Source organism: Homo sapiens, chromosome 14 (assembly GCF_000001405.40).
Source record: "Homo sapiens chromosome 14, GRCh38.p14 Primary Assembly".
Classification (NCBI taxonomy): Eukaryota; Metazoa; Chordata; class Mammalia; order Primates; family Hominidae; genus Homo; species Homo sapiens.
The window spans coordinates 53597811-53616019 of NC_000014.9; the positions used below are offsets into that span (position 1 = coordinate 53597811).

Sequence of the window (18209 nt, forward strand, 5' to 3'; positions counted from 1 at the left end):
CCAAAGATTAATATCCATTGGGATTTTGGAAGCACTGGTTAGTCTTGTTATAAGGATTAAATAAACTAACAAAACAAAGGACTGAGCCTACGGCCTGCAGTTTGGAAAGTGTCGAATACATGGTTGTCATTATTAGTATCAGTCTTAGACACATAAATAATGAGCATTAATGAATTTAACTACATTTTAATCTGAATTTATACACAATAGATGAGAGGAGAATGGGGGAATTTTAAACAATTGGTTAAGATGAAAGTCAAAGGTAAATCCGCAACCTGAAGATATTTTGACTTATGGAATATTTTGATTTATTAAATAATTTTTTGAAAGAATCACTGGGATAAGTAGTAAAGGCACATGTTGGGGCTCAAAGATGAGGTAATAACAAGGCAAATGATAACCATTTCCTCAAAACCCATGTCTATCCTCTTATAAGAGTTGAAATTGAGTTTGAACAATTTGATATGATTTGCTTGTCACTAACAGAAAAATACTTTGCAGTACCTAGCAAGCAACACACTTTCTGTAACTTAACCACAGAAACAATATCTACTCTTCCTCTGCTTACTATGGGGAAGGTTGCAGTTAAGGTTAAAAGAAAAGAACAAAGAGGTGAAATGGATTGTGATTCCATGTCTTAACTTCCTTCATTTCCTCTGGAGTAGCTTATTTTCTCCTATTCATCCAGCCATATTATCCTCTCAAATCTGAACCTCAAGTTTTCCTGGAAAAGTTGTTCCTGATGAACTCCCCTTGTTCTTGTCAATTTCCACTCAGTCCTCATGGACTTTTTCAGTTGTGTGTTTTCACTTGGAATAACCACCTTCGAAATCTTGTGTGTTCTTTGGTCTGCAGGTGCCACTTCTCCCTCATTAGATTATGGGGTCCTTTGGCAGAATAACAAGGCAAGTTTTTTGTTTGTTTCTTTAGTTTTAATTCACACCGTTCTACACACAAATGGTAATTAACATTGAGTATGTGATGAGAGTCAAGACTTCTGAAAAGATTCCTTTATAACTAAGTCCATTTTTTTGAATTTTGGAATATTCTAGCTCCTGCTGAAATGGAATAAATTTGGTGGAATTTCACCGTCTTAGGACTTTGGGGCTCCTATAAGTCATTATTCCACCTCTGCCCGTCTTGTGTCCTCCATGTAGGACACACAGTGTACATTTTAGCAGGTATCAGCAAATCCCACACATACGGTTTCTTCCAACCCTTTACATGAACAGAAAGTATTTCCATTCATATTAATTCAACCTTGAACCTATTTTAGAAGCAGCTGGAAAAAGCCACATTTATCTTTGCCATTATGCAACCAGCTAAGAATTAAGGAAATCGTGTGGTTAGACAATCGCAAAAAAGACCCAGCTCATTAGAGATGGGCAAACCTTGAAAGAGTCGGTTCTGAGAGGGCCCCTGAAGTTTGGCTCCTTCCCTGAAATTAATAACCTGTACATGTGGCACAGGATCTCTCAGGAGGTTATTGCCTCGTGAGGTTATCACCCTTTTGCCTGTAATTGTCTTTCCCAGCGAGGGCTCCGTCATGGGAGAATTCAGACTAATAGCATTACGCTGTTACTGTGGCAGTCTCCTTACCCAGCCCCATCCTCCCTTTTTTTTTCTCAGAAATGATGGACCTTTTGTCCAAGCAAAAGGAGAAAATTTAGAACAGGAAAAAGCCCACAGGGTCAAATCTTTCTTGTTATATTGTGGGGATGGTCCTATGCTAAGCTGTGTAAATAAAGTAGGATGTTGCTGCCACTGATGATGATGACTTCTCTGGAGAAAACCATCGAGTGCCCTTTAAAACAAAGAATTAGACATGGTCTCTGGTGAGGGGATTTGCTAGGCCTGTGACAGGTGGTAATTTCAAAGTGAGGTCTGTGCACAGAGGGAGGCCTTGAGAACATTGGAGACAAAGTGTTATATGACCTCAAATGTTTCTCTGGCTTGCTTTCTCTCTCTCTTTCTCTTTTGAGCTGCAAGTAGCTTCTGGAGAGCCAGTTCCATTCAGGAATTTCAAGAATCCATGAATTCTCCTGTTACCAAAGTCCTATCTTTTAACATTATCTACAGCCAATTGTTTCACTACAGTAAAATGAATCCAGCGTGGAAAGTGGTCAGGGTATGAAAAAGCCCATGAAGTGAGCCTACAGGACCTGTCCTCCATGTCCACCATCTCTCTGTGCTATCGTTGTTTTCTCATTCTCATAAGTGCAAGTATCAGAAATCAAGGAGACTTGCTTTTACATGTAATTATCTTTTGGTTTGCTGGTAGGCTTTATTTCTAATTTATTTGCTTGAGTCTTCAAATGTGTAGCCATTATGGGCCATGAAACTTCACGTCTGATCATTTGGAAATTTAGTACCCTTTGAAACAAAGAAAATTAAAACAACAACAATAAAAACATTGTCCAATTTCATTCACAATGAAAATATCCCTCAGTAATTTGCAGGAAATGAAAAGTATTATCAACAGAATATGCTTTTCAAAAATTTATAATCCTTTAAACGGGCAAATCCTTTCTCCGGGATTAGTAGCATGGTTTGTGTCCTAGGAGCCAAATCCTATTCCCTAATTCAATCCTCAAATCCTTTCTAACAGTGCCTATATTGATTTCAGACCCAGTTTTGTTTTAAAATTCAAGGACAGAATTTGGTCCTGTGTTTAGAGGTCCTTAATAAGGATTTTTTAAAAATGAAGTTTGTCTGAAACTTAGCCTCTTGTTCCAAAAGTTAAATACTGATGTCTCAATAATATAACAGATGTGCTTAATTTCTAGGTCATCCTTTGTTTTTCCCATACCTAGCTGAACTCATACCTCCCTATATGGAGGAGCAACCTAGAAGGTTGGTGTTGCTCTCCAAAAGTTACTGGTGACTCCAGGTATTTCCTTAATCCCAAATGCTAGCCTTGAGTCTGAGTACAGTTGATCTTCCTACGATATGTTTAGTGTTCTAAGGACTTAGTCTTTTTGAACTCATTGCACATGTATATTATACATATTTATATGCACAGGTGTTAGACACTCTGACAAGACATATAACTGGTATTCTGAACATCTATGGGAAGATGAAAATTATTGCTCATAATGATGATGCATACATAGTGAAGATAGTAAAAATCCTAAATTGACCTTTCAAATCACCTACAAGTGCTTATATGAGCAGCACAGTTTTAGTGAATGTGTTCTATTAAATATTATTTGAAAAATAATTATTGGTGCATGGTACATATGATAGCTCTCTATAAAGCAGAATGTTTGTTTAATCAGAACAGATAATTCTTTACCTAGAAAAGGTATCTAAATTTGCTCTAACTGCCTTACAAAGTTTTGTCTGAGAAAAAAACTAATATATACAAAAGTGCTCTGAAACATAACATTAACTACATTAATTCAGGAAACCAGAGATCAGAAAGGCGGTAGGAGGACAAACAAAACGTGGCTATATCATGAATGCCTAGAAAAAAGGGAATTTTTAAAAGTTCACTGGTAGTAGTACAGATTATATAGTATATACAGTTAACTGTATAATTATATATGCAGTTTGTATAGTAAAAACATTATTGGGTGCATACTGTGAGCCAAGCACTGAATGAAAATATTTATAGAAATTGTGTTGTTTAATTCTCAGAACAATCTTGTGGAAGTAGGTATTATTATCATTACCATTTTACACTCAAGGAAAATGAAGCTTAATTAACAAGGAGTAACTTGCCCAAGATCACACAACTAAGTGACTCAGCCTGGATTTGAATCCACATATGCCAAACTTCAATCCCCATGTTCCTGACCCCACCCCCTGTGGCTTCTTTGTCCTTCCCCAGTCTTGTCTTTCAATAATGTGCTCTATCCCCACACTCTGCTCTGCCAGTTTCTAACAATCTCCTAATGGACAAATCCAGTGATAACCTTTGGTCTCAGTCCTCCTTGAATTCTGTGTTATCTGCTCTGAAATATAATAATGATAATACATACACATGATACGGTAGAGTTTTTGCAAAAACAATTGCAGTAATATGGCAACTACTTCAGACATAATGTTTGGTTATTAAAATAGAAAGCTGTTCATGGTCAAGGTTAGAAGCTCATGTGGTATGACCTTGGATAAGTTGTTTCCCACAGCTATGCTTTCTTCTGTTGTAAAACATCAGTGATAGTACTTGCCTTACTTGGTTGCTGAGAAAACTTACTATGGCAATGCCTATAAAACTGTACTATGCTAGCTTCATCACTAGCGTTCAGTACTCATTATTATATAACATCGCAAGTTTGTTAGGATTATTGTTTGTAAGTATACTGTGTAAAGTCTTCTTTCTCCTTGACCTCCATGGCATAGCTGTGTTTTGTCTTTCTATCTCTCTGATAGTTCTCTCACTGTAGCACCTTTAGTAGACTTCCTTCTGCCTCTCTTCTGCATATTTTTCAAGACTTGATTCTTGGTTCTCTTTCCTCTGACATCTCCAGGATCTTACACTCATTGACTGTCCTTCTGATAGTAATGCCCTGTCATCCCACCTCATGCCCACCAAGCCACTCTATGTCCTCCAATTCCTAATCTGTGCCTGTTTCCCAAATCTGTCAACACCTCTGTCTTCACTTTGTTCTTTCTTAGCCCAAGTCAGCTGGAAAAATCTTTTGGTGTGAAAAGTCCCCTGCTCCAGACTTGACTCTTCCAAACCTATGATCCCTATACATACTATTGTTAACCATTTCCGAAAGTGAATCCTTACAAGAAGTTGTTCTTGGATCCAACACAGATCCCTGCTATCGGACCTCAGTTGGGCATCCAGGGTTAATGGGATATCCTTTTCATCATGGAGAATTAACGCTGTATCATATCCCCCATAATTGTAGTAATAAATTTTCCCATGTTCCTTAAATGCCCAAAGAGACTTCTGTCTCCTTACTCCTATGGACTTCTTTACCAAGAAAATAAAAAACATCTGATCTGAGCTCTTTCCCATTCACTGTTTCCCATGATTACTCTGCCAGTGTTTTTAATCTCATTCCCCTTTAAACTCCTCTGGAATCTTCATCAGTTATATCCCTTACTTTCTATACTTCTTTAAAATTTCTCCTTCTCCAGTGCCTCCTTTCTAATCAGTTGTGTTTTTCATATAGTGAAGATTTTTTTTTTAACCTGCTAACATCTCCAGGTATCATCTGCTTGTTTCTTTGCCTCCCAAATTCCCTAGAGAGCAACCTCCTTAACCTCCAGTAATCTCATTCCCCAGTATTTCTACTGAAATTGGTTTTTTGAAGGCCACCAGGGTCCCCTAAGCCATCAAACCATTGTCCTTTTCTTATCTTGCATTCTTAGTTCTCCTGATGTTTATGTCCTTGTCATGTGTCCCTTTTTCCTTACTTTCTCTTCCATGGCACTGCGTGGTTCAGTCTCCTTAGCAGCTTCTCTCCAATCTAATTTAATCAACAGATATTCAGTATTCACTCATTTCAACTGAAATTGATTAAAAAACCAAGATATCTTTTGGCTAATCTGCCAGTATGGGATATAGCTGATAGCCACATTGTCACCAAATTATTAAGCTTTCTTTTTCTAAAACTAATCGGCTGAAATAATGAATTACATTCCCTTCAACTCCTGGAGTTGAAGATTTGATGGATGGTAATGATTAATTTCTTTGAAATAATCTCACAAAAGGTGCTTTGTGCACTGTTCTAACCCAAATGTCTAGAACAGTGCATGGTACATCTTATTTTAATTTAACAAATAATATATAACGTGTGTTATGTGCCAGGCACTATTCTAAGTGCTTTACAAATATTAACTCACTGAATCCTGAAGACATCCATATAAGGTGGATATTATGGTTAATCCCATTTTACAGATGAGGAAACTGAGAGACAAATAACTAACCCAAGGTTATATAGCCAGCAAGTGACCCAGCTATGATTCGAACCCAGGCAGTATGGTTCCAGGTTCCATGCTACATGGGTACTCAATAAGTGATTACTGATGGGAAAAACCGTTTGCAGAAGTTACTTTCTGACTGTCTTTGAAAGCTAATTTAAGATTTTTATTCTCATTTAAATTATTTCCAGTATTTTGTGTGTTTGTGCTGCTTCCCACAATCACTTGAGACAAAAATTGTTTCTTAATATTTGGATATAAAAATGTATCAGTGGGACAAGGTACTTGGATTTCCAGATAACAAAACCATTTCAGAGTTTCCATCTGTGTTTTTGCTCTCATAGTTGGGGATCTCTGGAGAAGGTACCCTGCAGCAGCCGCTGCCCTCTCAAGGCACCTCTGTATCTGCTACTTCTTTAGAAGGTTTCAGCACACAAACTACCCTTCCTGCAGAGAGGGAGTGTCTTTGGTGGCAGGAAGTCCTGTGATGTTGGCACTGCTCTCTGTGAAACAGAGGGTTAGACATTCTTTTGTCAAGCAGCTCTTTTTTTGGGGGAGGCGGGGGCATGTACTAGCCACTGTCCCTCTTTCCATCTTGTTTGCATACCTTGTGTAAGTAGATAGCACTTCTAAAATCTCATGCATCAAGGAGTCTGTCTTTGGCTAAAAGAAAATCTGGCCAGGCGCGGTGGCTAACGCCTGTAATCCCAAAACTTTGGGAGGCCGAGGTGGGTGGATCACCTGAGGTCAGGAGTTCGAGACCAGCCTGGCCAACTTGGGGAAACCCCGTCTTTACTAAAAATACAAAAATCAGCCGGGTGTGGTGGCACACACCTGTAATCGCAGCTACTCAAGAGGCTGAGACAGGAGAGTCGTCTTGAACCCGGGAGGCAGAGGTTGCAGTGAGCCGAGATCCCACCATCACTGTACTCCAGCCTGGGTGACAGAACAAGACTCCCTCTCAAGAAAAAAAAAAAAAGAAAAAGAAAAAGAAAACCGACCACAGTAGCTCACTGTTTTCCTGCTGATTACCAGTTTTTCTACTACATTATCCTGTCCTATAATTCCTTAGCACACACATGAACTGTATGAACAAGACATGCTGTGATTTCTAAATCATTCATGGCATCTTCATGTTTGTTCCATTGACAATGACAATTATGTGACACCATTTTTTCTTAATTTTTTCATTCTGTAAATGTGTCTTTGAAAAGATTTACTGCAGTGATCAATGTTTGGGAACCAGAAATACCTCAGGAACTGGGTAAAGCAGAAACCCACTTGAATTCGTAATTAGTCCTAAATGCTGCCAAACTTAAAAATAAGACTCCTGGTTGTCTCTGCTTGTCTAAATATCTGCTCCATGACACACAGAAGAATTACATTTAACAATGTCACTTTTTTGTGAAGAGAATGTAACTAGGAAAAAGTTTTTCACTAGTGCAGTAATTATTTGAAGATTAGAATTATAACAAACCCAATCTCTTTTATTCTGTCTTGTATTACTATTTAAATTTTTATAAGCTTGCATGTGTTTGAAAAAGATCCAGCATTCTTCCTAATTTACTGAGGAAATGTACTTTCTCTTAACATTTATGCTGCCAAACTCTATTCTTTTATAGTTATGTAGTAGAAAGTTATAATTAATTTTTTACAGAAATTACTAGCTATTATAATTATAATTAATTAGTAAAGCATGTTACTTTTACAATCATTAATATATTTTGTATTTCAATTGACTGATATTAGGTTGTTTAGTACAGTCAGTTGCTTTACTAATTAATCTTATAGCATTTATGTTATGTGCTATAGCATAAAACAAAACAATGTCTTTTAAAAACTCCAATGGATATTGAGAATACTTACCCATACTTGAAAGTGAATATTGAGATATTAAAATTAAATCTGATCATGTCATATCTATATTTTGGTGTCAAATATCCTTGTATGAAATGATAATAAGGATTGTCCTTTCTAACATATTTACTTCTCAGAATAAAAAGCTGGCACATCTATTTTAAAAATTACTCCAAATGACATGGCTTTGTCATCTTCCTAGCATTGCTGAGCTCATCAAATAAGATTTTAAGCTGCACAATCACAGGATCACTGACCATTTACAACTTCCAGGATACTAAAAAAGGACACTGAAGTAGGTGTTTGGCTTTCTAGAAGCCAAGGCTGAAGCTGATGCCAGATACTAGATTTAGTCTGAATCTGATGTTCAATGCATATCTAAAATTTATGTTTTTCTTCCCAGATTCACAGCTTCCATCTTCTTCTAGGTCTTGACTCTCTTGGTGTCTTCATTCCTAGGTTCTCTTTTCTAAGCTTCTATAGATCTTATGTGAGGTCATCTGACATTTAGTTATTATATTTCTTTTCACTTTCAGTGTCTTGCATTTTTGGCTTCATTGTCTTGCATGGTCATTCAATTTTTGTGTGCATACTTCGATTATTTCCAGCTCAGTAACAAACTACTTGAGATTAAGCATGGACATTATTTTCTTTAGATTCTTTACTGCCCTTAATGCTGTACGGCTGAGAGCTCCATAAAGAACATATGCTTTGTGAGTGAATAAATGAATGACATAATTCAGCTTTTACTGAACATCCAGAGGGGGAATAGTTGTTGTGTCTGTCTTGTGGAGAGGAAGTCTTAGTGCTGAGAAATTTTGCCAAGCTTACTGTCCCATGAATTATCATAATATGACAAACTGGCTTGGAGCTGAGTCATCCATGCCATGTCCATGTTATTAGATCTTGTGACATGGGAAATCTGCAAATGTTAGATCACAAGTACAACTAAATGAGTGTGGGTCTGTGCATGTATAAATATTCTGTTTCAAAGATCTCTTAATAAAGAACATGTACATGGGTTTATAGGCCCCAATTAAATGATATAAAATGAAAGTGACAGAGCCAGGATTTGAACTTAAGCAGTCCTGCTCCAAAGTTCCAGTTTTTAATTGCTCCACTCCACTGCATCTTTATGAGGTACACACAGAATCAGAGTAATCATCATCTAACCTTCATGGGCTCCATTAGCTTAGAAAGAAGCTCAGCTTAATGTCCTAGGCAGTGCCACAGCACCCCTGCCAGGAGTCAGATACTCATTTCCAGACCACCAGAAGCTAGTCCTGGAGGAAAGACCACATGTAGTCTCTAACTGAAGTTCTGGAAGAAGTTGAGGTGCCCTCAGTCAGGTGTGTGGGGTGGTTCCGAGTCAGTCTGAAAGGCCAGCAGAGTGACCATATAATTTACCATCCAAAGCAAGATTCTTCTGACAGTGAAAGGAAACTCTGTAATAATTATGCTGAGAATACAAACGTAAGCTGGGACCACCCCAGGCAGTTTTAGGTTTCTGAGTCTGGGAAACCTCCAAGGAAAAAAAAAATGTAACTAAACTTAATAAATTTGGTAAGACAATGATCCGAAACAGAATAAAATTGGGAAAAGGACAGTCTACCTAGGGATAGAATCCTAATACAGTTAACAATGTTTAGAAAAGAAATGGGCAAAGTGCGTATGACAGATGAAATAGTGGGGCAACAAAGTGCTTAAGTCTCTGACCTGGTAATCTGCTTATAATAGAATAGAAAATCAGTCGTCCTGAGTTGTCATTATATAAGTTTAAAAAAAGTATCTAGACAGGCAGAGCAATATGGAAGTGAGAATAAGCCAAGAGAACAAATGAAGCTGAGAACAGATTTCCAACAACTATTCTCTAGGTGAGGCCCGAATGACTCTAATAACAGGTGAGGACATCACTACAGGAACTCTTAAACAAATTTTGTGTATCACAAGCTCAGGGTGAACTTTAGGGAGCAAGTCTGGGTCAGCCACATCTGTATCTTCCTGGTGCCAAGACTGTTCCATGTTCTTGTCAGATGATGTGCAGGTATTTCTTCTTAGCTGTCTGAGTTTTCTGAAACTTTCAGTGATTGAAAAATAAATGTTAATAAACTTGGGAAATGTAGGACACCAACCATCTGAAAAGAGGTAGAGGACAAGGTCAGTATATCCAGGGACAAAAAAACTAATGCAGTTAACCCTGTCTAGGGAAGAATTGGGTGAGGCTATATGACAAGAAAAGACCTGAGATCTAAATTCAAGTTGAATATAAGTCAGCCATGCATTTCCAGATCAGAAAGAATAGGAATGTGACATCAAAAATTGGAAAGAAACTTATTGTTGCTCCAAGACTTGCCACGGACCTTATGAGGGCAGGATGTACAATTCTGACTTCATAGTTAGAAGAATGATGCAAAGAAGTAAAGTTTGTAAAAGGATGACCGGAAAGATTATAATGGTGGGAGCATGTTCTCTCCTGACATTTGATGAATAAAGACAGAAAGCTAAGGGTTGACTTAATTGTTTTCAAGGATCATGAAGAATATAGATAGTCACTATTTTGCTCCTTTACACTAGATTGAATAGGAAGAAATGGGCTGATATTGCTGCAAGAGATAAGTTGGTAATACTTAAGGAAGTACTTCTCAACCAAATATTGGGGCAATGAAGTGCTGAAGTCTCCGACTCTGAAATCTGTTTACAGTGGAATAGAAAATCACTAGTTCTGAGTTGTTACTTTATAACATATTTGATGTAGGAGGCTGGGGAGAGTGAATGGAGGAATTTGAGATCTGTCTCTTCACAGACCTGGAGGTTCTGAAACTGGTTGGAGGGGAGAAGGAAAAGTCAAAGTCAATTAACCATTAAAAACTATGAAGCCAGCTCTCTACCCGTGGGTCATGGGTGTGTTGAGATGGTTCCTCACACACCAGGGCCAAGCCTTCCCTTCTGAAATCCAGGTGGTGATGCTTTCACATTGTCCCGTGACTTCACCAGGGTTGTTCCTCCTCGTTCTACTTTAGTCCCTGGTGAGTCACCTGGGTGGAGACTCTGCCTTTGGCCCTGAGGAGGCAGCTGCTCCCTTTTGAGCTGGGAGGAGCAGCTTCTGTAGGTGTCACGCCCAGAAACTCCACGCAGCTTTGTCAAGCCTCTAAGCCTTTGTCAAGCCTCTCTGTCTGGTCAGAGATCCAAGACAGAATATCCACTATTATCTGGTATGGTATTCAGTCCTTCTGTTAAGAGAGAAAGGACACCTTTGCACCAGGGCAGTAGCCAACATCAAATCAGCTTCAGGAAACATTGAAGCCAATATAGAAGCACCTCTTAGAGTACAGCATCCAGCCTTTCTCTGCCCAGATGGCCACTTGACTTGAACCTACCTTTATTCAGATCTAGAAGCCCAGAATCTGCAGAACCAGAGCAACACAGCTGTCCTCACAGTAAGGTGCTGGTCTCCCTAAGGGGGAACATGCAATTTTCTGTTTGTGATGCAGGTAGTATAACCAGACAAGATGTCACTGAAGACTCACAACTTCTCACAAGAGGTAGGAGATCCATCCACAGAAGAGAAAGGGCACACAAACCTACCTCTTACAATGTGGATCTGTGTATAGTCACTCAGACCTTCGTTCTGAAATCACTAAATTAAAAAAGAAAAGGGAAGTGTAGCACCAAGAAGTGACTCTTAGAAAGGAATCCTACTGCCTCTTGCTCTTAGGCTCTGATTTTGCCTGCATTAGGAGTCCTGCATTTCTTGAATTTATTCACTCAGCAAATATTCATAGAGTAGCTACTATGCACTTACATAGGTACTGGAGATAAAATGATGAATAAGACAGACATGGAGTTTATACCTAATGGGGGGAGATAGACTATAAACAAAAGAAATAAACAAGAGAATATCAGATTTTGATAGGTGATAATAAATCAGGGTGATTGATGGAGAGTTAGTGCTGGGATGGGAAGATTAGTTTAGCTTGAGATATTGGGGACAGGCTCACAGAAGAGCTGATTAAAGAAGTTAACCAGCAACTTGAATGATAAAAAAGAGCTAACCAGGTGATGATCCAGCTTTCCAGCAGAGGGAATTGCTGGTGGAAAGGCCCTACGCCAGGAAAGGGATTAGCGTTCTGGAAGAAGGGAAGCCCATGTGCCTAGAGTTTCATGAGCAAGGAGCTCAGGGATCTGAGATGAGGCAGGAAAGCCTTGTCAGGAGGCAGATCTCTAGTGGTCTTGCAGCCATGGGGATAGTGAATTAAAAATCCTGTAAGAATTGGATTAGACTCCAGAAGTCATAGAGTTTGCCCTTCTCACTTCAAAAATGGAGAAACAGCCTAGAGGGGTAAATTCTGTCACTCCATCTCAGCCAGCCAAGCATGGTAATGTGGTGACTGAACATGGGAACTTCTGACACGGTTTCTGCCAATTTCTGCTCAACTCTTCCTGAATGCTAGAAAAGAGGGACTATTGAAAGTCATTAAATATTTAAGCACCTGCTCTTTAAAATATGTCACAATCATACTGTCTTTTTGACTCCCACAACTAAAAAATCATGGAGGAAAAAGTCAATCTTGTAGAATAGATTCCTATTTTCCATAGAGAATGATAGTTTGAACATTGGCTTTTCATTAAGAATTAAATTTTCTAAGGACCGAAAGTTTTTACCAAGAGCCCATGTTCAGGTTCTATACTTGCCATGAAGGCTTTTCCTAGCCAGGGCCATACTTCAGATGGGCTGCTTTTGATCCATAAGTTCAGGAGACTCTGGAGAAATGACTGGGTGAAACTTATTATGCACTTTTCCAATGTGGGGAGGACCAGAGAGTGTGGGTGTGTATGAGGAAAACACAGATGAGGTTTGGTCATTATTAAAGCCACTGGGGCTGGGAGCGGTGGCTCATGCCTGTAATCCCAGCACTTTGGGAGGCCTAGGTGGGCAGATCACTTGAGGTCAGGAGTTCAAGACCAGCCTGGCCAACATGGTGAAACCCTGTCTCTACTAAAAATACAAAAATTAGCCGGGCGTGGTGGTGGGCACCTGTAATCCCAGCTACTTGGGAAGCTGGGGTAAGGGATTCGCTTGAACCCGGGAGGCAGAGGTTGCAGTAAGCCGAAATTGTGCCACTGCACTCCAGCCTGGGTGACAGAATGAGACTCTGTCTCAAAAAATAAATAAATAAATAAAGCCACCAGGCAGCATGGTGTCATGACTGAGCACACGGCCTGTGACACTAGACTACATGAGTTGGAACCCCAGTTCTGCTGCTAACTCGCTGTGTGAATTTGGGCAAATGACCTCATCTCTTCCTCAGATTCTCTACCTGTAAAATGGGATGATAATAATATCCTTCTCATGGAGAATCAGATTAATAGCTGCAAAAGCATTTAGAACTATGTTTTTACATAATAAACACTATAGAAATGCTTCAAAGATTTTTTTAAAAGACTTGTAAAAAATGTAGAATTATCTTTTGCTGTCCTTGTAAAAATGTGGGGGTCTTGTTGATATCTTTATGGACCAGTTTTGTATTGTCTCAATGTGGAGTGTTTAGTTTGGCTATTTAATGTCACAGATCAAATGCAATCTCTTCATTCCAGGAGTAGGTCACATTCCTACCACAGGGACATATGGTGCAGCTTCTATGTCTAGAAGGAGCTAACATTCCACTATACATACAAACATCCAGAATCAGAAAATTATACTATAAGTTATGTATACATAGGACATATGTGTATATACATCTTGGTTTTTCAAACAGCAATGGCATTGCCTAAGGGAGCAATAGCTTTCACATCCTTCTTTGAGTTGAAAAGAAGGCTTTATTGAAGAGGACATATGGAAGGAGGTTAATTTTGGAATAGCTGAGACTTTTAGTTCTAAAAGGATTTGAGGCTGGCTTGATTAAGCACAAACCCATAGCAAGAGATGTGCTGGAGGAACAGGAGTTTGTTGTCACTGGTCTGGCCCTTGTTTAGGATTTACAGCCCAAGGATCTGCCACCAGCCAAGTGTGGTGGCAAGTGGCACCCTCGTTCTCTGGCTTGTGGCTCTCACAGACGTCATGCTATTTCCTTGTAGGCCTCCTCATTGTGAGGCCCTTTCATGATTCCCTCCCATTAACTGGCTAGTGGACTATGACAGACATTCTGTTTTCTTTCTTTTCTATATTTTCCCCTTCATCTCTATCTCTGAGGGAGAATAGGAGGAAGCAAAGTCCCATTCCCTCCCCCAGGAGATCTTGAATGCACAGGAAGAGCATCCTTCTATCTTTGTTGAGGGTGGATGAGAGTATAAATGGCTTCCAACTGAGGATGGTAGGACTGGAAGCAATCTCAGAGTCCACTGGGAAATTGCCTTACTTTTCAGTTTTCATGGCACGTGTAGAAGGAGTTAGCACAGTAGGGTAAATGGAGATTTCTTACAACTGAGGTGCCCAGACCAGGTACTCCAGCTGCCCCAGACCCTGCTTGGCCACCCTGAGGTCTGAGGGGACCCAAGATTGACAGCTCTGTGATCTTCATGGCCAGCCTTAGGTATCACTATCCAGCTCAAGGTGAGGATTCAGACCTGATTCAGACCTGATTGTAAAGTACCTGACTTTTGTCCACAGTCCAGTGGTCAGTACCTGTCACATGGACACATCTGACTCTCAGAAAGGCTAAGAACCAGGTTTAGCTGTGTTGGGAAAAAAGGACACAGGTTTGATGAATAGCTTAGCCAGTCTCTGCCACAGACAGTATGGGACCAACGGTGCTCCAAAGATAGATGCCAAATTGGAACTAAGACACACACTGCTTAACCCATAGCACAGTGCTCTCCCCACCAGACCACACTTGGTCATATCTCTCATACGTCCCCTCCCTTTTAAAAACACAGCCCACAGGCCAGGCGCGGTGGCTCACCTGTAATCCCAGCACTTTGGGAGGCCGAGGTGGGTGGATCATGAGGTCAGGAGATCGAGACCATCTTGGCCAACATGGTGAAACCCCGTCTCTACTAAAAATTCAAAAAATTAGCCAGGCGTGGTAGCGGGCGCCTGTAGTCCCAGCTACTCAGGAGGCTGAGGCAGGAGACTGGCGTGAACCCGGGAGGCGGAGCTTGCAGTAAGCCGAGATCGCGCCACTGCACTTCAGCCTGGGCGACAGAGTGAGACTCCGTCTCAAAACAAAACAAAACAGAAAACAAAAACAAAGAAACACAGCCCACAAAAGGTGCCGAAAAGGGATCCAAGGAGAAAGTGGTTGAGCCATTTTTTTGAAGTGAGCCTTGTTGATCTACAGAACAATGAGGTTGCATTTAGAAAATTCAAGTTCATTACTGAAGGTATTTAGGGTGAAGATTGCCTGACCAACTTCTGTGGCAGGGATTTCACCCACGAAAAAATGTGCTCCATGGTTAAAAAGTGTCAGACCAGGTATGAAGTTTACGTTAATGTCAGAGCTACTGATGGTTATTTGCTTCATCTCTTTTGTGTTGGTTTTACTAAAAAAAAAAAAAAAAAAAAAAAGAAAAAGCAACAATCAGATTCTGATGACCTCCTACACCGAGCAACTATAGGCCTGCCAAGCCTGAAAGAAGATGATAGAAATCTCGACCTAGGAGGTACAGATGGATGTCTTGGAAGAAGTGGCCATTGAATTGATAGCAGAAAGCGCTGGAAAGACATAGGAGAGGGTTGCCAATCTAGTTATCCTCTCTATAATGTGTTCATTAGAAAAGTGAAGCTGAAGATGCCCAACTCTGAACTGGGAAAACCTAGGGAGCCTCATGATGAAGGTAGTGGTTCTAGAAAAGCTACTGGGGTGAGACAGATGCTAACGTTAAACAAGCTGATGGATAAAAGTCCGAGAATCTGTTTAAAAATTCAAACTTTTAATGGTGACAAATAAAACATATTATTTGTCGGGAATTTAAGAAACACATCTCATTAATTACACTTCTAGTCTACCGTAAGTCAATTCCACTCACAGGCAAGGCTTGGTGTAACTTAGGAATCCCACAATGAAGTTCAGCCCCGCCTCTCAGAATGACAGAGAATTTCCACTGTACTATGAACTCTTTGTAAAAAAAAATCAGCATCTGCATCTTCAGCTTTGCTTTTTTCTTACCTCTTTCGGTCCTTCCCCACTTGCTTGTTTCCTGAAGACCAGGGGGCAAGATGAAGGTTACTGCATGGTTCACTGCAAACACTGTCTCTCAGTTTTACCTCAACCTTTGATTCAGATGTTTTCACTTCCTCCTCTTCTTACGTATGGCCCTTTGGTCTCTGTCCCCTAGGCTGACTTTCATCATCCAATTAGAAATAACACCGTCTTCTTGCTACCATTTCTCTGGGAACCGTAGGGAGTAGACCCCCAGCCTCCTGCACTCCCCACAGGGGCCAGCCGAGCTTCAAAGGAGTGTGTTGGCAGCACCACCTCACGGCTGGGCTTCCTTTCTGTTTGAACAGCTTCCATTGCTCACTGTTGATCAGTAACTCAATGATTCATTAAACACACAAACAATGAGTGAATCTGTTCCATTAGCAAGGCCACCTGTTGATCTCAGACATTCTTAGCTGAACTCGGCAAATACGAACAACAGAATGCCTACATCAGTCGAGTGCTCTGTCTCTATTTGATGGCATGTTAGAGCAGGAAAAGCAGAGTCCAGGCTTTGCTGATGCTTTTATGCTTTTCCTTTCATCTGGTGGCAGGGCTGTAAGAGTAAAATGTGGAACACAACCCACCTCTCTATAAGCAGCTGGAAAACTTTAAGAGCTTGGTCGCTGTTCCTTCCTCAGTCTTGTAGAATTAGAGAAAAAGGAGAGTGGGAATATTCTGTACCCTTTTGCTTGCAGGTGCAAGGGCAATAGAATTAACCAAGCCCTAAACACACACACACACACACACACACACACACACACACACACACACACACACACACACCAAAAGAAGAAAAACTGTAAAAGACATCTTATTGATTGCAATGACACCTTCTCTGCCTTAGAAAAAATACAATCTCTTTTCTATGTAGCTTCTGGTTCATGTAGCTGTTCCAGGCCTTTAAGAACTGGTCTACTAGTGTTTACAAGCTTTTAAAAAATATTATACTTTATTTGGCTACTAAAAGTCATATAAAGCAGACTGGGTTAAGCTGTTGATACAGGCATCACGGTCAATAAAAGTTGAAATTTTATTTTTAAAAATAGCATTTTTCCTCTCTTATAATTCCTCTTGTTATTATGATAACGAGGAGAGCTTTTATAAAGTGGGTGGTATTTGTTTGAAACCTGAAAGGTGTACCATACCAGGAATAAAGAGACACTTGTTCTTTTCTCAGTTAAATACTAAATTGCCTCTTTAGGGTGAATTTAGTATTTAAATGCATAATTATTATGATTTGTACTGTGTTAAGTTTAAATTTCTCTGCAGTGACACTGATTAAACACAGCTCAGTGTTTCTGTTTGATAGATTTATTCTAGGATATCAGTAAAAACTTGGTTGGTTGGTTGGTTGGTTGGTTCTTGTAATCAAATGGAAGATGAAGAAGCAGAAGGAAACAACTCTTCAAATAAAATTCCAGTTCCTATGAATTTATTATGTAAAATATATAAAATCATGAGTTTTAAATTTCCCACTGGATTTCGGAAATGACTGTTGCTAGTGGCTGGTTTACTTTCATTTGTGTGGCACTGGAAATGACAGAGTGCCAGGTGAGGAATTCAGTTTGTGTCTCTTTTGTAAATATTCTTTTGCTTTGGGAGGACATGCTTTGAGCTACACACATTCAGAATGAATAAGGTGAACAGATTGAGGCAGGCAGACCCCACTACTTGGATTCTCTAGGCAGGTGTGAGCATATCTCGCTCATCCAATACATAAAAGACCACGTGCATTTTCAAAGGGATTTCTGCAATCCCTTTTGCAATCTTTTGACAACCACTACTATGATCTGATTGCCCAATGCAGGTGCTTGTGCAGCCGCCCCACTGTGCCATCAAAAGAATCCTCAGATTCTTCTGACTAAAAGGGACAGGCAGAAGAAGTAACTTTTTAAAAAGACTAAAAAGGAAATAGCCACATAAAATGAAAAATTAGATGGAAGGTGAATAGCTATCCCCTCCTGTGATTAGATTGTCACCATCCAATAGAACTTTCTGCAGTGATACAAATGTTCGATACCTGCACTAACCAGTGTGAGAGCCACTAGCCACATGTGACTACTGAGCATTTGAAATGTGGCTAGTGTGACTGGGAAATTAAAATTTAATTTTAATTAATTTAAATTTAAATATGCACATGTATTTAGTGGTTGTCATTGTAATATCCCCCAAGTGACTAGGTTGGTTTCCTACCTTCATTGTAAGCTCTCAGTAAGTATTTGCTGAATCAAAAAGATAAAGGTGATCATGGTCTATCTCCCTTAATACTCTTAGGTGCTTCTCCTGGCCTGAGGATTCCTACTTACTGCAGGTCTTGCCTCCTCTACCCTT

General features: G+C 39.8%; 2 long non-coding RNA genes and 1 pseudogene across 4 annotated transcripts in view, besides 5 other annotated features; 2 read left to right on the plus strand and 1 right to left on the minus strand.

Annotated features, from left to right (window-relative positions):
- Positions 1 to 18209, plus strand: part of LOC105370504 (uncharacterized) — a 402142-nt gene that overhangs the window by 277159 nt on the left and 106774 nt on the right. The gene's annotated exons all lie outside the window — the stretch shown is intronic.
- LOC124903316 (uncharacterized) lies at positions 171 to 14572 on the minus strand. The gene is made up of 2 exons (XR_007064176.1): positions 11115 to 14572; positions 171 to 9814 (listed from the first exon to the last, which is right to left on the minus strand). It is a non-coding gene; the product is annotated as an uncharacterized LOC124903316 (long non-coding RNA).
- Positions 10105 to 11304: an enhancer, noted in NCBI's record as "MED14-independent group 3 enhancer chr14:54074633-54075832 (GRCh37/hg19 assembly coordinates)". NCBI's record gives its function as "activates an origin of replication core promoter dependent on BRD2, BRD4, P300/CBP and CDK7 cofactors, and independent of MED14, by STARR-seq in HCT116 cells {active_cell/tissue: HCT116}" and the evidence as "EXISTENCE:reporter gene assay evidence [ECO:0000049][PMID:35650434]".
- Positions 14592 to 14641: a silencer, noted in NCBI's record as "silent region_5754". NCBI's record gives its function as "represses an Ori minimal core promoter by ATAC-STARR-seq in GM12878 lymphoblastoid cells {active_cell/tissue: GM12878}" and the evidence as "EXISTENCE:reporter gene assay evidence [ECO:0000049][PMID:35858748]".
- Positions 14962 to 15071: an enhancer, noted in NCBI's record as "active region_8404". NCBI's record gives its function as "activates an Ori minimal core promoter by ATAC-STARR-seq in GM12878 lymphoblastoid cells {active_cell/tissue: GM12878}" and the evidence as "EXISTENCE:reporter gene assay evidence [ECO:0000049][PMID:35858748]".
- Positions 14988 to 15571, plus strand: RPS3AP46 (RPS3A pseudogene 46; annotated as a pseudogene).
- Positions 16027 to 16126: an enhancer, noted in NCBI's record as "active region_8405". NCBI's record gives its function as "activates an Ori minimal core promoter by ATAC-STARR-seq in GM12878 lymphoblastoid cells {active_cell/tissue: GM12878}" and the evidence as "EXISTENCE:reporter gene assay evidence [ECO:0000049][PMID:35858748]".
- Positions 16147 to 16246: an enhancer, noted in NCBI's record as "active region_8406". NCBI's record gives its function as "activates an Ori minimal core promoter by ATAC-STARR-seq in GM12878 lymphoblastoid cells {active_cell/tissue: GM12878}" and the evidence as "EXISTENCE:reporter gene assay evidence [ECO:0000049][PMID:35858748]".